This window comes from Homo sapiens, chromosome 5, assembly GCF_000001405.40.
Source record: "Homo sapiens chromosome 5, GRCh38.p14 Primary Assembly".
In the NCBI taxonomy this organism is placed as follows: Eukaryota; Metazoa; Chordata; class Mammalia; order Primates; family Hominidae; genus Homo; species Homo sapiens.
The window spans coordinates 98326200-98343400 of NC_000005.10; the positions used below are offsets into that span (position 1 = coordinate 98326200).

General features: G+C 39.2%; 1 pseudogene, besides 2 other annotated features; it reads left to right on the plus strand.

Moving 5' to 3' along the window:
- Nucleotides 12240-12741: an enhancer, noted in NCBI's record as "H3K4me1 hESC enhancer chr5:97674143-97674644 (GRCh37/hg19 assembly coordinates)". NCBI's record gives its function as "activates a minimal SCP1, AML or CMV promoter by ChIP-STARR-seq in naive H9 embryonic stem cells {active_cell/tissue: H9 hESC(naive)}" and the evidence as "EXISTENCE:reporter gene assay evidence [ECO:0000049][PMID:30033119]".
- Nucleotides 12461-13948, plus strand: LOC402221 (actin beta pseudogene; annotated as a pseudogene).
- Nucleotides 16700-17201: an enhancer, noted in NCBI's record as "H3K4me1 hESC enhancer chr5:97678603-97679104 (GRCh37/hg19 assembly coordinates)". NCBI's record gives its function as "activates a minimal SCP1, AML or CMV promoter by ChIP-STARR-seq in primed H9 embryonic stem cells {active_cell/tissue: H9 hESC(primed)}" and the evidence as "EXISTENCE:reporter gene assay evidence [ECO:0000049][PMID:30033119]".

Consider the following 17201-nt stretch of genomic DNA (forward strand, 5'->3'; position numbering starts at 1 on the left):
ATGGGAGCAAATTTTTTGCAATCTACCCATATTACTCAATTTTCATACAGCTATAAAGAAATCTCTGAGACTGAGTAATTTATTAAGAAAAAGAGGTTTAATGGACTCATAGTTCCATATGGCTGCAGAGGCCTCAAAATCATGGCAGAAGGTGAAGGTGAAGCAAAGGCACATCTTACATGACACCAGGCAAGACAGCATGTGCAGGGGACCTGCTCTTTATAAAACCATCAGAACTTGTGAGACTTATTCACTATCACAAGAACGTCATGGGAAAATCTGCCCCCATGATTCAGTTACCTTCTGCCAGGTCCCTCCCATGACACTTGGGGATTATGGGAGCTACAATTCAAAATAAGATTTGGGTGGTGACACAGCCAAAGCATATTAGAGCTATAGATATAAAAATATCATTGATACTTCACTGAAGAAAAAATTAGAAAATATTCCAAAAAGAAAGCAAAGATACAATAACAAGGGCATCCTATTCTCTTTTCCAACCTAACAAGAATGGAAAATGACTACAAGTGAAAATTGAGAGCTATCATCCCAATTTCCCATCTTTGTATCTTTGTCTTGACTTCCGTAATTTTTTTTTTTGACAGGGTCTCACCCTTGCTGAGGCTGAATGCAGTGGCATGATCAATGGCTCATTGCAGCCTCAGCTTCCCAGGCTCAAACCATCCTTCCACCCTCTGTCTTTGAGTAGCTGGGACCGCAGGCACCTGCCACCACACCTGGCAAGTTTTTGTATTTTTTGTAGGGGTTTCACCTTGTTGCCCAGGCTGGTCTTAAGTTCCTGTGCTCAAGTGATCTGCCCACCTTGGCCTCTTAAAGTACTGGGATTACAGGCATGAGTCACAAATGCTGGGATTACAGACATAGGCCACTGTGCCCCATTGCCTTCTGTATTTCTAATGCCAATCTTTTCTTCCATCTTCTTTACTACTAGAAAGCAGGCCATTAACTAATGGAAGCAGAGACAGAAAGGAGTCAGTATTTCTATAGATCTTTAGGCAGGAAAAGAAATGAGGCTGAAATGATGATATTGTTTGTTTTTGTGTCCCCACCTAAATCTCATCTCAAATTGTAATACATATAATCCCCACGTGTTGAGAGTCCTGCCCTCAAAACATGGGGATGATTGGATCATGGGGGCAGCTTCCCCCATGCTGTTCTTGTGATAGTGAGTGAGTTCTCAAAAGATCCGATGGTTTTATAAGGGGCTCATCCTCCTTTGCTCATTTGCTCTCTCTCATCTGCCACCATGTAAGACATGCCTTTGCTTCTCTCTCCTTCCACCATGATTGTAAGTTTCCTGAGGCCTCCTAAACCATGCGGAAGTGTGAGTCAATTAAACCTCTTTCCTTTATAAATTATGTAGTCGCAGGTACACCTTTATAGCAGTGTGAGAACTGACTAATACAAATGGAGTATAGGCACAGGGATGGCTTCTCTCATCTTCTGTTAAAGTCACCTGAAAACAAGAGAAACAGATATCACTTTGCACAATACTATTGACCTATCCAATTATGAATCTGCATCCCAAAGAGAGTTGAAACTAATCTGAAAACAACTTGCTTGATTTCTTTAGCATCCCCACAATCATATTCACAGCAAAAAGTCTTCTGTGTATAGATGTAAAGATATTTTCACGGATTCAGTGAAATTTGCTTTGGAGCACTGGAATTGTTTTACATTTACCACTGAGAAAGTTAGAGGAATAGCACATTTTACAATCAGTCTTTCAGTTCTCAGAGGGCCTCTTATCCTAAAAAAGTTCCCATGACTGACTCTCAACATGTTTTTAAAAACCTTTTACCTCTATATGTGGCTGTGGTCATGTAGTTGATTTTTTTTTTGAGATTAAAAACACATAAACACAATCAGTCAAGCAGATGGATTTATATTGCTGTTTGTATTCCTACCATCAATGCATGAAAGTTCAAGTTGCTCCATATGCTCATCAACACTTTTTATTGGCCTTTTTTCATTTTAGCCATTCCAGTGGGTATGTAGGGATAACTCATATTTCAATATTTGAATTTCTCTGATGACTAATGATGCTAAACACTTTTCTATGTCTATTGGTCAGTCATGTATTTTCTTTTCTGAAGTTTCTGTTTAAACATTTTTTTAAACTTTTAACTGACTTGTATTTCTATTAATGAGTTGTAAGAGTACTTTATATATTTTAAATATGAATAATTTATCAAATATATGTTTTGAAATATCTTCTCCCAACCTATGGCTTATCTTTTCATATTGTTAATGGTGTCTTTTGTGAGCAGAAGCCTTTTATTTTTATAAGTTTACAATATTTTGTAAAAGACATAGGCATAGAAACAAAAAAACAGATGAGTGGTTGCCAGAAGCTGTGGCTAGGGATGGGAAACTGATTGCATATGGACATAAGGGAACTTATTATTGTGATAAAAAATATTTCATATCTTAAATGAACTCAAACAAATTTACAAGAAAAAAACAAACAACCCCATCAAAAAGTGGGCAAAGGACATGAACAGACACTTCTCAAAAGAAGACACTTATGCAGCCAAAAAACACATGAAAAAATGCTCACCATCACTGGCCATCAGAGAAATGCAAATCAAAACCACAATGAGATACCATCTCACACCAGTTAGAATGGCGATCATTCAAAAGTCAGGAAACAACAGGTGCTGGAGAGGATGTGGAGAAATAGGAATACTTTTACACTGTTGGTGGGACTGTAAACTAGTTCAACCATTGTGGAAGTCAGTGTGGCGATTCCTCAGGGATCTAGAACTAGAAATACTATTTGACTCAGCCATCCCATTACTGGGTATATACCCAAAGGACTATAAATCATGCTGCTATAAAGACACATGCACACGTATGTTTACTGCGGCACTATTCACAATAGCAAAGACTTGGAACCAACCCAAATGTCCAACAATGACAGACTGGATTAAGAAAATGTGGCACATATACACCATGGAATACTATGCAGCCATAAAAAATGATGAGTTCATGTCCTTTGTAGGGACATTTATGAAATTGGAAATCATCACTCTCAGTAAACTATTGCAAGGACAAAAAACCAAACACTGCATATTCTCACTTATAGGTGGGAATTGAACAATGAGAACACATGGACACAGGAAGGGGAACATCACACTCTGGGGACTGTTGTGGGGTGGGGGGAGGGGGGAGGGACAGCATTAGCAGATATACCTAATGCTAAATGACGAGCTAATGGGTGCAGCACACCAGCATGGCACATGTATACATATGTAACTAACCTGCACATTGTGCACATGTACCCTAAAACTTAAAGTACAATAATAATAAAATAAAATAAATTTCATATCTTAATTATGATAATGGTCACACAACTATATATATTTGTCAAAACTCATCAACTGTAACCTTTAAAAAGGTGATCTTGTTTATTGTACGTAAAGCATAACTCTATAGGCCTAATTTAAAGTAAAATAAAATCGCTTTGAAATCCTCCCATGTAAACAGAATAGTCTCCCCTGATGTGCTCCTTACATTTGGGAATGAAAAACAGAAACATTTAAAAAATGAGAGTGGGGCAGGAATTTATTATCACAATCTTAGTACTGCCTTCCAAACATGGGACTCTAAGATAGAGGCAAGCAATTGAGGTCAGAGAATCCAATTTGAAGAAATTGAGAAAAAAAAAGAAGAAGAAAGAGAGAGACAGAGAGAAAAAAGAAAAAGAGAGAGAGAGGCAGGGAGGGTGGGAGGGAGGGAGGGAGGGAGGGAGGAAGGAAGGAAGGAAGGAAAGAAGGAAGGAAGGAAAAGAAAGACTGACTATATAAGTTAGCTGTTTAAATTCACAATATTATCACACATGTTCTTGTAATTCCTTACATTAAGTCACTTAACAAACTCAGACATTTTAACTGCTAAACTTCATTGTATGCTCTTTCATATCCTGTGATCCTAAGGGAAGTCTTTGTGCAGGAAATCTTTCTTATAGTTGATCTAAATAACTATTAGATTATAGCCTAAATAAATCATGTTTTTCAAATGCTGGATGCATTGTTTCTCTTATTTAGCGCCAGCCTTGGATGAACTGTATCTTCAACAAATGAAATTTTGTGCAAACTGTCACTTCACTGTCCAAAAGGATTTGGCTCTTTTAGAAAGCAGTTTCTGACCTCAAGATTACAGTCTACATTGCTTATATCCTTTTTTCCCTAAAATACAGAAGGCATCCGGGAGCATGAAAGGAGGTATTTTGTGTATATTGCTCAAACCAATCATTTTGGGTTATCAGCTTCTCATGTACTGCATACTGTACTGCATCTGAGCTAAGAATTTGAAGAGATCAGCCAGTATTCTGATGGAAACTTTGAAATGACAGAGATAAGATAAAGAACATACTGTATACTGTATAGGGAAAATATCATTGGACAAAAGAAAATTAGAAGTACAATATGGTACAAATAGTGCTAGTACTTAGTTATATCATTTTTACTTTTATACTCAATGCACCTGAAAAAATACTTTACCAAAAAAGTACCAACAGAAAAAGAAAGACATGGATGATTATCTAGATGAATCCATCAGGCAATTACATATGTAGAAGCTACACACTTAGCTTTGCCTAATAAACCTTATTTTACTCAGAGAAGTGCCTATGAGCCATAAACACTCCCTTTTCAGTTGGGCAGCTATCTCAGATAATTCCTTGTGATGATTGAGAAAGTATTAGATTAACCTGTGGTACTAAACATAGACAGATTCTCTCTCCAAAAACCTATGTTCCTATCCCAAGCATCAGAGTGGCTCTTGCCATTAGCCCCTTTCATTTCTGGCATTTCTTCCTCATACCAACGCTCACAGTCAGTACTTCCATCCCCCTGCCCCAGGCCTTCCAAACTTTACATTGCAGATATGGGACAGGAAACATGTTGATAAATCAGGAGTACTTTGCAGGGTGACTATCTTCTTCCTGCTAGAGGAAGAGCTGAAAAAAAAAATACTAATTTTCTTCCTCTTTATTTCTTCTAAAAAAAATGGGCTACATGTGCAGAATGTGCAGCTTTGTTACATAGGTATACATGTGCCATGGTGGTTTGCTGCACCTATTGAATCATCCTCTAAGTTCCCTCCCCTAACCCCCAACAGGCCCTGGTGTGTCTGTTCCCCTCTCAGTGTCCGTGTGTTCTCAATGTTCAACTCCCACTTATGAGTGAGAACAGGCGGTGTTTGGTTTTCTGTTCCTGTGTTATTTTGCTGAGGATGATGGCTTCCACCTTCACCCATGTCTCTGCAAAGGACATAATCTCATTCCATTTTGTGGCTGCAAAGTATTCCATGGTGTTTATGTACCACATTTTCTTTATCCAGTCTATCATTGATGGGCATGTGGGTTAGTTCTATGTCTTTGGTATTGTAAATAGTGCTGCAGTAAACATATGTGTGCATGTGTCTTTGTAGTAGAACGATTTATATTCCTTTGAGTATATACCCAGTAACGGGATTGCTGGGTCAAATGACACTTCTGGTTCTAGATCCTTGAGGAATTGCCATATTGTCTTCCACAATGGTTGAACTAATTTACACTCCCACCAACAGTGTAAAAGTGTTCCTATTTCCCACAGCCTCACTAGCAGAATCTATTGTTTCCTGACTTGTTAATAATCGTCCTTCTGACTGACATGAGATGGTATCTCATTGTGGTTTTGATTTGCATTTGTCTTTTGACCAGTGATGCTGAGCTATTTTTCATGTGTTTCTTGGCCACATAAATGTCTTCTTTTGAGAAGTGTCTGTTCATATCCTTCGCCCACTTTATGATGGGGTTGTTTGTGTTTGTCGTTTCCTTTTTTTTTTTTTTTTTTTTTTGATGGAGTTTCCCTCTGTCGCCCAGGCTGGAGCACAGTGGCGGGATGTTGGCTCACTGCAAGCTCCGCCTCCCCGGTTCACGCCAATTCTCCTGCCTCAGCCGCCGGAGTAGCTGGGACTACAGGCGCCCGCCACCACACCTGGCTAATTTTTTTGTATTTTTAGTAGAGATGGGGTTTCACCGTGTTAGCCAGGATGGTCTCCATCTCTTGACCTCGTGATCCACCCTTCTCGGCCTCCAAAAGTGCTGGGATTACAGGTGTGAGCCACTGAGTCCGGCCAAAGTTCCTTGTAAATTCTGGAAATTAGTCCTTTGTGAGATGGGTAGATTGCAAAAATTTTCTACCATTCTGTAGGTTGTCTGTTCACTCTGATGATAGTTTCTTTTGCTATGCAGAAGCTCTTTAATTCGATTTCATTTGTCAATATTTGCTTTTGTTGCAATTGCTTTTGGTGTTTTAGTTACAAAGTCTTTACCCATGCCTAGGAGCTGAAAGGTGTTGTCTAGGTTTTCTTCTAAGGTTTTAATGGTTTGGGTTTTACATTTAAGTCTTTAATCCATCTTGATTTAATTTTGTATAAGGTGTAAGGAAGGGGTCCAGTTTTACTTTTCTGCATATGGCTAGCCAGTTTTCACAGCACCATTTACTGAATAGGACATCCTTTCTCCATTGTTTGTTTTTGTCAGATTCATCAAAGATCAGATGGTTGTAGATGTGTGGTGGTATTTCTGAGGTCTGTGTTCTGTTGCATTGGTCTATATATCTGTTTTGGTACCAGTACCATGCTGTTTTGGTTACTGTAGCCTTGTAGTATAGCTTGAAGTCAGGTAGCATCATGTCTCCAGCTTTATTCTTTTGGCTTAGGATTGTCTTGGCTATGCAGGATTTTCTTTGATTCCATATGAAATTTAACATAGTTTTTTCTAATTCTGTGAAAAATGTCAATGGCAGTTTGATGGGAATAGCATTGTATCTATAAATTACTTTGGGTAGAATGGCCATTTTCACGATACTGATTCTTCCTATTCATAAAGATGGAATGCTTTTCCATTTTTTGTCTCCTCTCTTACTTCCTTGAGCAGTAGTTTGTAGTTCTCCTGAAAAGGTTCCTCGGATCCCTTGTTAGCTGTATTCCTAGGTATTTTATTCTCTTTGTAGCGATTGTTAATGGGAGTTCATTCATGATTTGGCTCTCTGCTTGCCTATTGTTGGTGTAAAGGAATGCTTGTGACTTTTGCGCATTGATTTTGTATCCTGAGACTTTCCTAAAGTTGCTTATTAGTTCAAGAAGTTTTGGGGCTGAAAAAATTACTAATTTAAGCACAAAAGAACATTTGACTGGATGTTAAAAGGCATTGGTCCAAGACCTCACTCTGCTCCAACCTGGTTAAGAAACTTGAAGCCAGTCACACAACATGAATGTACACTTTTTATCTTAAAAATGTAGGAGTTATACTAAACGATTATTAACTTCCTTTTAGCGCCAATATCCTAATATTATAATGTTTTTATATTATCAAATTATGAGAGTTGTGGAAGTTCAGAAGATATTTTCCCCAAATGTGTTATTTGTTGAAATAACACATGAGCCATGTTAACCTAATGTAATTCCTAGTATTCATAAAATGAAAAGCATTTGCCTTGCCTGTGTTCCTACTTCCCTATCATTTTCATTACAGCATGGCCCAAAGTATGCCCATTGCTCAGCAAGCAGTAATGAAGTGGAGCCCATTTGGTTAATAATTCAATTCTGGAAATCCCACCTAGAGTCATTTCCTTCTGCTCTGAATCCTTTCAAAGATCAGTTTGGCACTTTGAATTTTAATTTTCTAGGATATAAGTTTTTCTTAAGTAGAGGTGATTCACATAAAAAAGAAAATATTACTTGTTCCTTTTGAAATAACATAGTCTATAATGTTCAATATTCAAAAATGGCTTATTAGCAAATAATTTCAAAACATTATTTAAAAGTTTAAAATAGTAGGTTACTGTCTTCATGTGTCAGTCAGTGGGGAATTGCACATCCAAAAAAGCAATTGTCCTTGATGACTCAGAAACATGGCACAGGCTGGCTCTAAATACTGAGCCTAGAAGACAGCATAACAACTCACCAGATATCCTTAACTGCTGGAAGCCATGAGGCTACATGGGATTACCTGCCTCATCTCACATTGTCTTTTTCAGTGTGGCATCAGTGTACTAGGAGCCTTTCTTCCCAGATTGTACAGGTCACCAATATAATATTATATGACCACTCCTGGCCCTTACTGAGAAAGTCAAAAGGAATAATAAAAGAGTTGGGGACCAATATCTCCCAATTACTCCTTCTCTGCTAACCATATCAGCCTCTGGTAATAACCATCCTACTCTCTACAAATATGAGTTAAACTTTTTTAGAATCCACGTATAGGTGAAATCATGTGGCATTTGTCTTTCTGTGACTGGCTTATTTCACTTAACATATGTCCTCCAGGTTCATCTATGTTGTCAAAAGTGGCAGGATTTTCTTCTTTTTTATGGCTGAATAGTATTCCATTGTGTATATATACCACGTTTTCTTTATTCATTCATACATTGTTGGACCATTATGTTGATTCAATATCTTGGCTATTATGAGTACTACTATAGTAAATGTTGGAGTGCAGATATCTCTTTGACATACTGATTTTATTTCCTTTGGATATATACCCAGTTAGATAGGAGGAATAAATTCAACAGGTCTATTTTAGAGCATGGTGACTACAGTCATCATATATCATTAAAATATGATGATATATTGTATTCTTGAAAAGTGCAAAGAGAGTGGATATCAAGTGCTCTCACCATGGAAATGAAAACTCTGTGAGGTAATGCATTTGTTAATCAGCTAGATTTAACTCTTCCACTACACACACATACACATTTCAAAACATGTTGTACATAATAAATACAATTTTATCCGTAAACTAAAAACGTAAATTTAAAAAGAGTTGAGAAGCAAGTGAGCAGGAAGAAAACTAGTAGAACTTAGTCACTGCAGCGTCATAAATATAACTTCCACGTCCTCCAGAAAAGGAGACAATGGAATGACAGTTGGGCAACCAGAGTATAAATAGGGACCACTTGGCTGTTCAGCTCAAATGGATGACTGAGACAAAAAGCTACCGAAGGCAATGGCATGCTGCAATTTCCTTGAAATAGGATTATGATCTGTGTGAATCTTAAAAGAAGATGAGTTTAATATATAAAAAAACCAAATAGCATTGTGAAAAATATAAAACTTTTCATCCGCAAACTCTAAAAATGTGTCATCAAACACAAGATTCTTTTAAGCTATCAAAAATGATTCAGAAATAAATCATTTAGGCAAGAGAAGTAAGATTACTGAGTTTAATATAGCTATCAGTAAATTGTTTTTTTATTATCTCAACACTAAATTCTGTGTGACACAAACTTACAGTGAATGAAAATACACTGAATGAAAAATGTACAATCAAATGAAAATGCTATAGCTTCACAGAATATTCTTGTTGATATACATATCTTTTCCATCCTGCATTCAATCAGCTGGAATTATTTTTAAGGAAATAATTTATTTCAGTGAATGGATCTCTTAAAAGTTTAAATCTCAGGGTTGGGTTGAAGACACTAGTTCCTGGGCATCAGCTTTTTGAATTAATGTATAGCCTACCAATGAGGCGTGAGCCGCCGCGCCCGGCTGTTGCTTTACACTTTTAAAGATGTTTCTTAAAGTTCCAAAGGCAAAAAAAATAAAAATCAGTAAATAAAGTAAGTGTTATAACCAATCTTTAAAATCCTAGTGGTAATGGGCCGGGTGCGGTGGCTCGCGCCTGTAATCCCAGCACTTTGGGAGGCCGAGGCGGGCGGATCACGAGGTCATGGGATCCAGACCATCCTGGCTAACACGGTGAAACCCCGTCTCTACCAAAAAATACAAAAAACTAGCCGGGCGTGGTGGCAGGCGCCTGTAGTCTCAGCTATTAGGGAGGCTGAGGCAGGAGAATGGCGTGAACCTGGGAGGCGGAGCTTTCAGTGAGCCGAGATGGCGCCACTGCACTCCAGCCTGGGCCACAGGCGAGACTACGTTAAAAAAAAAAAAAAAGAATCCTAGTGGTAATGGTCCCTGGATTCCACATGAATGAGAATGAAGCATGGTGGACTCTTGAAGTTCTTTCTTGACCATTTACTTATTTCCTTTGTAGATGTTGCTGCTCAGACGTTAACCCAGTCCGGACTGAAATTGGCTCCAGCTCAAGGCACTGACTCAACTCAAAAGAGTTCTAGTCTTTCCATTTAGTCTTCTTTTTTTGTTTCAGTCCAGGGAAACCTCTGGCCTGGGCTATGCTGCATGTTTATTTCACAAGTTCTTTGCCACCCTTAGCTCCTGCTTTATTTCTTGAGTTCTTGAGGGAAAAGACAATAGTTCCTCAAGAATCAACTAACTAAGTTTTCTACCTTGATTTTGAAGTTACCTCCTCTGTCCTTTCTGAGAATGAGTGGGGTCCTGCAAACCCTAGCTCTTTCCCTGGTCCAGTGTATTCCACCCCCATTCAGTTTACTTGAATCACTAGCCAGTTATTAAGATAGCACATTTGCCTATTTAACATTTGTTTATTTAGCAAATACAGTCCTTATTGAGCTGTTTGTGTGCCAGACACTATGCTAGGCATGGAGCACACTATAGTGAATAAAAAGATATTGTGCCTGTCGTGGTGGAGCCTAATATGAAAAAAATAATTTTAATAATATTACAAAATTAGTATAATGAAAGATAAAAAAAATCCTGAGAGAGATTATAAGGGATCTACTTTAAATTGAATGATTAGGGGAAGCCTACCTGAAAAGATAAGGTTGTAACTGAAATATTAAGGACAAGAGTGGGGAGTGAAAGCATTAGAGACAGTGATGATCTGAGATAGTCCTAAACTATATCAGGTTAGCCTCATACAGTTGCTCAGGGTATGCAGTAGCACTAGTTGCTGGGGTCTACTCTGAGATCTTGACATAGCGTATTCTGCAGTCCTATTATCTTGTACTGGGTCTTAACCTCTACTCTAAGTTAGAGTCTGGGTCTCTCTCCTGTATAGACTTTTTGCCTGATGCCTTTATCCACGATATCAGGCTCCCATAGACCTTTCAAAATACCGGTCTGTTACTCTACTTCTCTCTAATCCCAAGTTCATGTCTCGAGTACACCTTCCACTGAGCTTTGTTTCTAAACAGTGAGGAACTTCTAGGCTTCAGTGCATTTTCAGGGAAGAAGTTTTCAAGCCCTTCTTGCTCAGATTGACAACTCTGCTCACTCCTCCAGGCCCTTTCAGAAGGCCATCTACACTCTCAGCCAAATATCAGAAATCTCTTGGGAAAAACTTATCACCACAGAATGATAGGAGAAAAAGTATTATTTTATTAAGTAGAAGCAATACCTTAAAAAGCAAAATATTTGTTGAAGAAAATTGTATATTACCTTTTTAAAAGTTAGTTTTCATAACTCCTTTAGAGAAAGTCTCTTAATGCCACGTGTTTGTAACATACTAAGAGAGTTTAAAGGACAGCAGCCACATTTCAGAAACAATAATCTAAGGACTCAGTTTTAAATACATGCAGACATAATTATCTTCCTTTAAAATATAAAAGTCATAATAAAATTTCGAGTGTCAAAAAGAGAACTGCAGATTGATAGATAAGCTTAGAAAAAACCTAGAATGAGTACTTAGTATAATTAGAGTTGTTGGTTCAATTCGAAAATACAAAAGAATAAAAGATTTAAACAATAAATAGGCACAGTGAAGTACTTTTCTAATTCTTGCTTGTTTGTGAAAACTTTAAAGACTATTTCAAATATATAGAAAATTTGAAATTAAAACAATTAATAAAAGCATACTTATACATTTGTTCTAGAAGTAGAAGTGAATCTCATATCTGGAACTACTGGTAGATTGCTTAAAAATCCTGTTAATGATGATGTCAATAAAGCTGCCATATTTGCAATTAGAAGTGACACTTCTCAGCACAAAACCATACATTTTTACATTTCATGTTTATGAGTATTAATTGTGCTATTTCCTCATGCCCTACACCATGATGAATATATTGGTGCTGTCAAAACACAGAGTAAAACCCCAAGGACCTTATTGATTAATTAGCTTTTCCAGATAATCTGGAAATATAAATTTTGTTTCCAAAAGAGAATTAGGTTTAGTATGTTTGCTACATCTCTGAAATTAGAGAAATATGATTTATAAAATATCTGCCGTTGTATACATGTTTATTTTTTAATTCCATTCTTGAAATATTTATTTCCTACAAAATTGAGCTAACAATAGGATTTAAGTAGAATATTCGTTTTTTGTTTTTAAAAAGGTTCTATCTCAACAAGACCATAAAGTTATTTTAAGTGGGTTAACAATGGGAAAGTAACACATTAGGAATGGGACAGGCATAACACTCTGATTGGTAGAGCAGAAAGATGATATTCTTGTCAAAACTGTAATTGGAAAATTTTCTAGACATGCTAAGCTAAGTGTATTAGTCCATTTTGACACTGCTGATAAAGACATACCTGAGACTGGGAAGAAAAATAGGGTTAATGGACAGCCGAGACCACGTCCGCCCCGCAAGCACAGAGCGTCGCCCTCCCCGCTCTGCCGGGCATCCATGCCCGCAGCTAGCTCACCATGGATGATGATATCAGCACGCTCCTCATCAACAAGGGCTCTGGCATGTGCAAGGCCGGCTTCACAGGTGACAATGCCCCCGGGCCATCTTCCCCTCTGTCATGGGTGCCAGGGAGTGATGGTGGGCATGGGTCAAAAGGACTCCTATGTGGGTGATGAGGCCCAGAGCAAGAGAGGCATCCTGACCCTGAAGTACCCTGTGGAGCACGGCACCAACTGGGACGACATGGAGAAGATCTGGCACCACACCTTCTACAACAAGCTGTGTATGACTCCTGAGGAGCACCCCATGCTGTTGACCCAGGCCCCCCTGAACCCCAAGGCCAATCATAAGATGACCCAGATCACGTTCGAGACCTTCAGCAATACCCCAGCCATATACATGGCCATCCAGGCTGTGGTGCTGTCCCTGTACGCCTCTGGCCTTACCACTGGCATTGTGATGGACTCTGGTAACGGGGTCACCCACACTGCCCATCTACGAGTGGTATGCCCTCCCCCACGCCATCCTGCGTCTGGACCTGGCTGGCCTGGACCTGACTGACTACCTCATGAAGATCCTCACCGAGTGGGCGCTACAGCTTCACCACCACGGCTGAGCAGGAAATCATGCATGACATCAAGGAGAAGCTGTGCTATGTCACCCTGGACTTTGAGCAGGAGATGGCCACAGTGGCCTCCAGCTCCTCCCTGGAGAAGATCTACGAGCTGCCCGACCTCCCGATAGCCAGGTCATCACCATCAGCAATGAGAGGTTCCACAGCCCCCAGGCCCTCTTCCAGCCTTCCTTCCTGGGCATGGAATCCTGTGGCATCCTACTGTCAACTCCATCATGAAGTGTGACATGGACATCCGCAAAGACCTGCATGCCAACACAGGGCTGTCTGGCGGCACCACCATGTACCCTGGCATGGCAGGACAGGATGCAGAAGGAGATCACCACCCTGGTGCCGTTGCTCCTCTGGAGAGTTAGTACTCCGTGTGGATCAGCGACTCCATCCTGGCCTCGCTTTCCACCTTCCAGCAGATGTGGATCAGCAAGGAATACGACGAGCCTGACCCCTTCCTCATCCACCGCAAGTGTTCTAGGCGGATTGTAACTTAGTTGCATTATACCCTTTCTTGACAAAACCTAACTTGCGCAGAAAACAAGATGAGATTGGCATGGCTTTATTTGTTTTTTTGTTTTGTTTTGTTTTTGGCTTGACTCGGGATTTAAAAACTGGAATAGTGAAGGTGACAGCAGTTGGCTGGAGGAAGCATCCCCCAAAGTTCTGCAATGTGGCCGAGGACTTTGATTGTACATTGTACATTTTTAAATAGTCATCCCAAATATCATGAGATGCATTGTTACAGGAAGTCCGTTGCCCTCTTAAAAGCCACCCCACTACTCTCTAAGGAGAATGGCCCAGTCCTCTTCTGAGCCCACAAAGGGGAGGTGATAGCATTGCTTTCGTGTAAATTATGTAATGCAAAAAATTTTTAATCTTCACCTTAATACTTTTTAATTTTGTTTTATTTTGAGTGATCAGCCTTTGTGGCCCCCCTCTTTTGTCCCCCAACTTGAGATGTATGAAGGCTTTTGGTCCCCCTGGGAGTGGGTGGAGGCAGCCAGGACTTACCTATACACTGACTTGAGACCAGTTGAATAAAAGTGCACACCAAAAAAAAAAAAAAGAGAGAGAAAAAGAAAAAGAAAAATAGGTTTAATGGCAGGGGAGGCTTCACAATAAAGGCAGAAGGCAAAGGCACTTCTTACATGGTTTTGGCAAGAACTAAAGAGAGAGAGAGAGAACTGAATGCGGAAACCCCTTATAAAACCATCAGATCTCATGAGACTTATTCACTACCAAGAAAACAGTATGGGGGAAACTGCCCCCATGATTTAATTATTTCCCACCGAGTCCCTCCCACAACACATGGGAATTATGGGAGTACAATTCAAGATGAGATTTGGGTGGGGACACAGAGCCAAACCATATCACTAAGTAACTGTCTCTTGTATGCATTTAAGCTGCATTCAACTGTATGTATTTCTCCTATATGTGTTGCTCTGGAAGCCTAAGTCTTGAAACTAGAACCCTTGCCCTGAAATTGAGAAACTCATTGACTACCTCAAGTGCTGGTGCTAACCCCAAATTACACTGGAGGTGATTTCTATCTTTACAAGTTCCATCTGAGCTCTGTTACCATCTTGGGCTGCTTTCTCTTCTGCTTTTCATTTCCTTGTTTGTTTCCTTCGCCCCATACACCATTTCTTTAAATTCTCCTTAACTCCAAAGGCCTGGACAGAAAACAGAAATGCATAAGACTTGATAACTCAGTAGGAGCTCTGATTTTACCCTGATAACATCTGGACATAGAAAACAGGGAGGAAGTGAACAAGATGCAAATTGCACTCTTCTCCCCACCCAAAGCCATGAGCCCTTCTCCGGATCCCACTCACATTCCTGAAGCCAACAGACTGCGTGCTCAAGAGGTTTAGGCCTTGAGAACTTCACAGGGGAAAGCCAAGGAAAATGACACTGCTGAAGCTGATACAGCACATCTGCTTGCCTCATGGCATTAGTCATTGGATTTCTGAAGCACTAAATAATAACTCACAAATTCAAAGCAAGTTATTCATTAAATGAACTTTGTGCAAAGATAAATAGGATAGATTAATGAAGACTCTGATGTCTAAGTTTTCAAATTAATTGCATGATTGAGACTGATTAGCAACAAATATTTAGTTAGAAAAGCAAGTCACACCCTATAGGGTGAAGAGTTCTACCCATTGTCTATTTCCAGAATGGTGAAAAGACTACACCAGTGAACTGCACCAGAGCAAAGTCCTGGCAGTAACAGAGCCTAGAATTGCCTTTATAGCTGCTGTCAAAAGAGTGGATATCCACGTTAACTATTCTGGATCCTCATTCTGGTCATAGTTTCACAGCCAGACTTGTTTATCTGCAGCACAATCATCTCTGATCCCAGAACTTACCAGCTTTCTTACTTTCCTCCATACTAACATTTATTTACCAATTATATTATCATCATACAAGTACTGTGTCACAGCTTCTAACATTGCCTAACACACAATTTGGGGAATTAGAAATAGTTACAACAGCTCTAGAGACAAGGTTTTTGACTTTATACTATTTTAGATATGTTGTAACAAGTCCTTAAAATTTGAGAGTGCCTATTCTTAGGCTGAATCAGCAAAAATGTATGCCACATAGCAACAGCATTGTAATTCTAGACCTACTATATTTGGTATGATTACAACTTACGAATTCCAGCATTATAAATTTTAAAGGGTTATATGAAATTGGTTAATTTCATCAATTAGATATTGTCTCACTACTCCCTTGTTTTTTCTTTATAGCTTTTTTTTTTTTTTTTTTTAGGAGAGAGGATAAATATTTGTGAAACCTCTGGGATACCATTCTATGCTAAGTTGCTCCAGAGCCAGATTGCCTATGTGGGAAAACAGGCTTCATCATTTATTAACTGAATAACTTTAGTTAAGTATTGAATCTTTGCATTCTTTGGATTTTCATCTATAAAACAGGAATAATAAAGGTGTTCATTTCTAAAAAATTTAATGAGTTAATACATGTAGAGAACTAAGAAGAGTACTAGGCTCATAACATACATACAACAAATGTTACACATTATTAGTATCAGTGTTTGGAAATACACGATACTATATTTCAGCTTTTAAATGGCAAAACAGTGTAAGAAGCAGGGAAATTTTAAAATGCAAACTGTGACTGCTATCTGTAAGAATAAGTTAAAGATGGGAATCAGGAATATCAGACTTTAGATAATTTTTATAGAAATTTCCAATTCAAAGCAATAGCTAAAGTACACAGTATAGAATTTAACAAATGAAGGGCATATTAATGTTGAGAAAAGAAACATTTTGCAAATCTCTAACCTTAATTTCCCTGCATTTAACACATTTTGACTTTTATATAAACTTCTTATTCAAAGGAAACTTGCTGAAATGTTTGCCCAATGCATCTTCACTTTTTAAATTATAGGATCTGGTAGTATCTCTATCATTCCTTTCGCCTTGCCTTGACCTATCACCTCTCCTTCTGAATTAAATTTCCACAGTAAAGCATATACTCTCCTTGATTAGCAAGTCTCTCACATTTTAAATTCAGGAACCTTTTATACTCTTAGAAATTATCAGCTAAGCACAGTGGCATGAGACTGTATTCTAGCAATTTGGAAGGTTGAAACAAGAAGATCACTTGAGGAGGGCAGCCAAGATGGCCGAATAGGAACAGCTCCGGTCTACAGCTCCCAGCATGAGTGACGCAGAAGACGGGTGATTTCTGCATTTCCATCTGAGGTACCAGGTTCATCTCACTAGGGACTGCCAGACAGCGGGCACAGGACAGTGGATGCAGCGCACCGTGTGCGAACCGAAGCAGGGCGAGGCATTGCCTCCCTCGGGAAGCCCAAGGGGTCAGGGAGTTCCCTTACCTAGTCAAAGAAAGGGGTGACAGACGGCACCTGGAAAATCAGGTCACTCCCACCCTAATACCGCGCTTTTCCGATGGGCTTAAAAAACAGCGCACCAGGAGGTTATATCCTGTGCCTGGCTCGGAGGGTCCCATACCCATGGAGTCTCGCTGATTGCTAGCACAGCAGTCTGAGATCA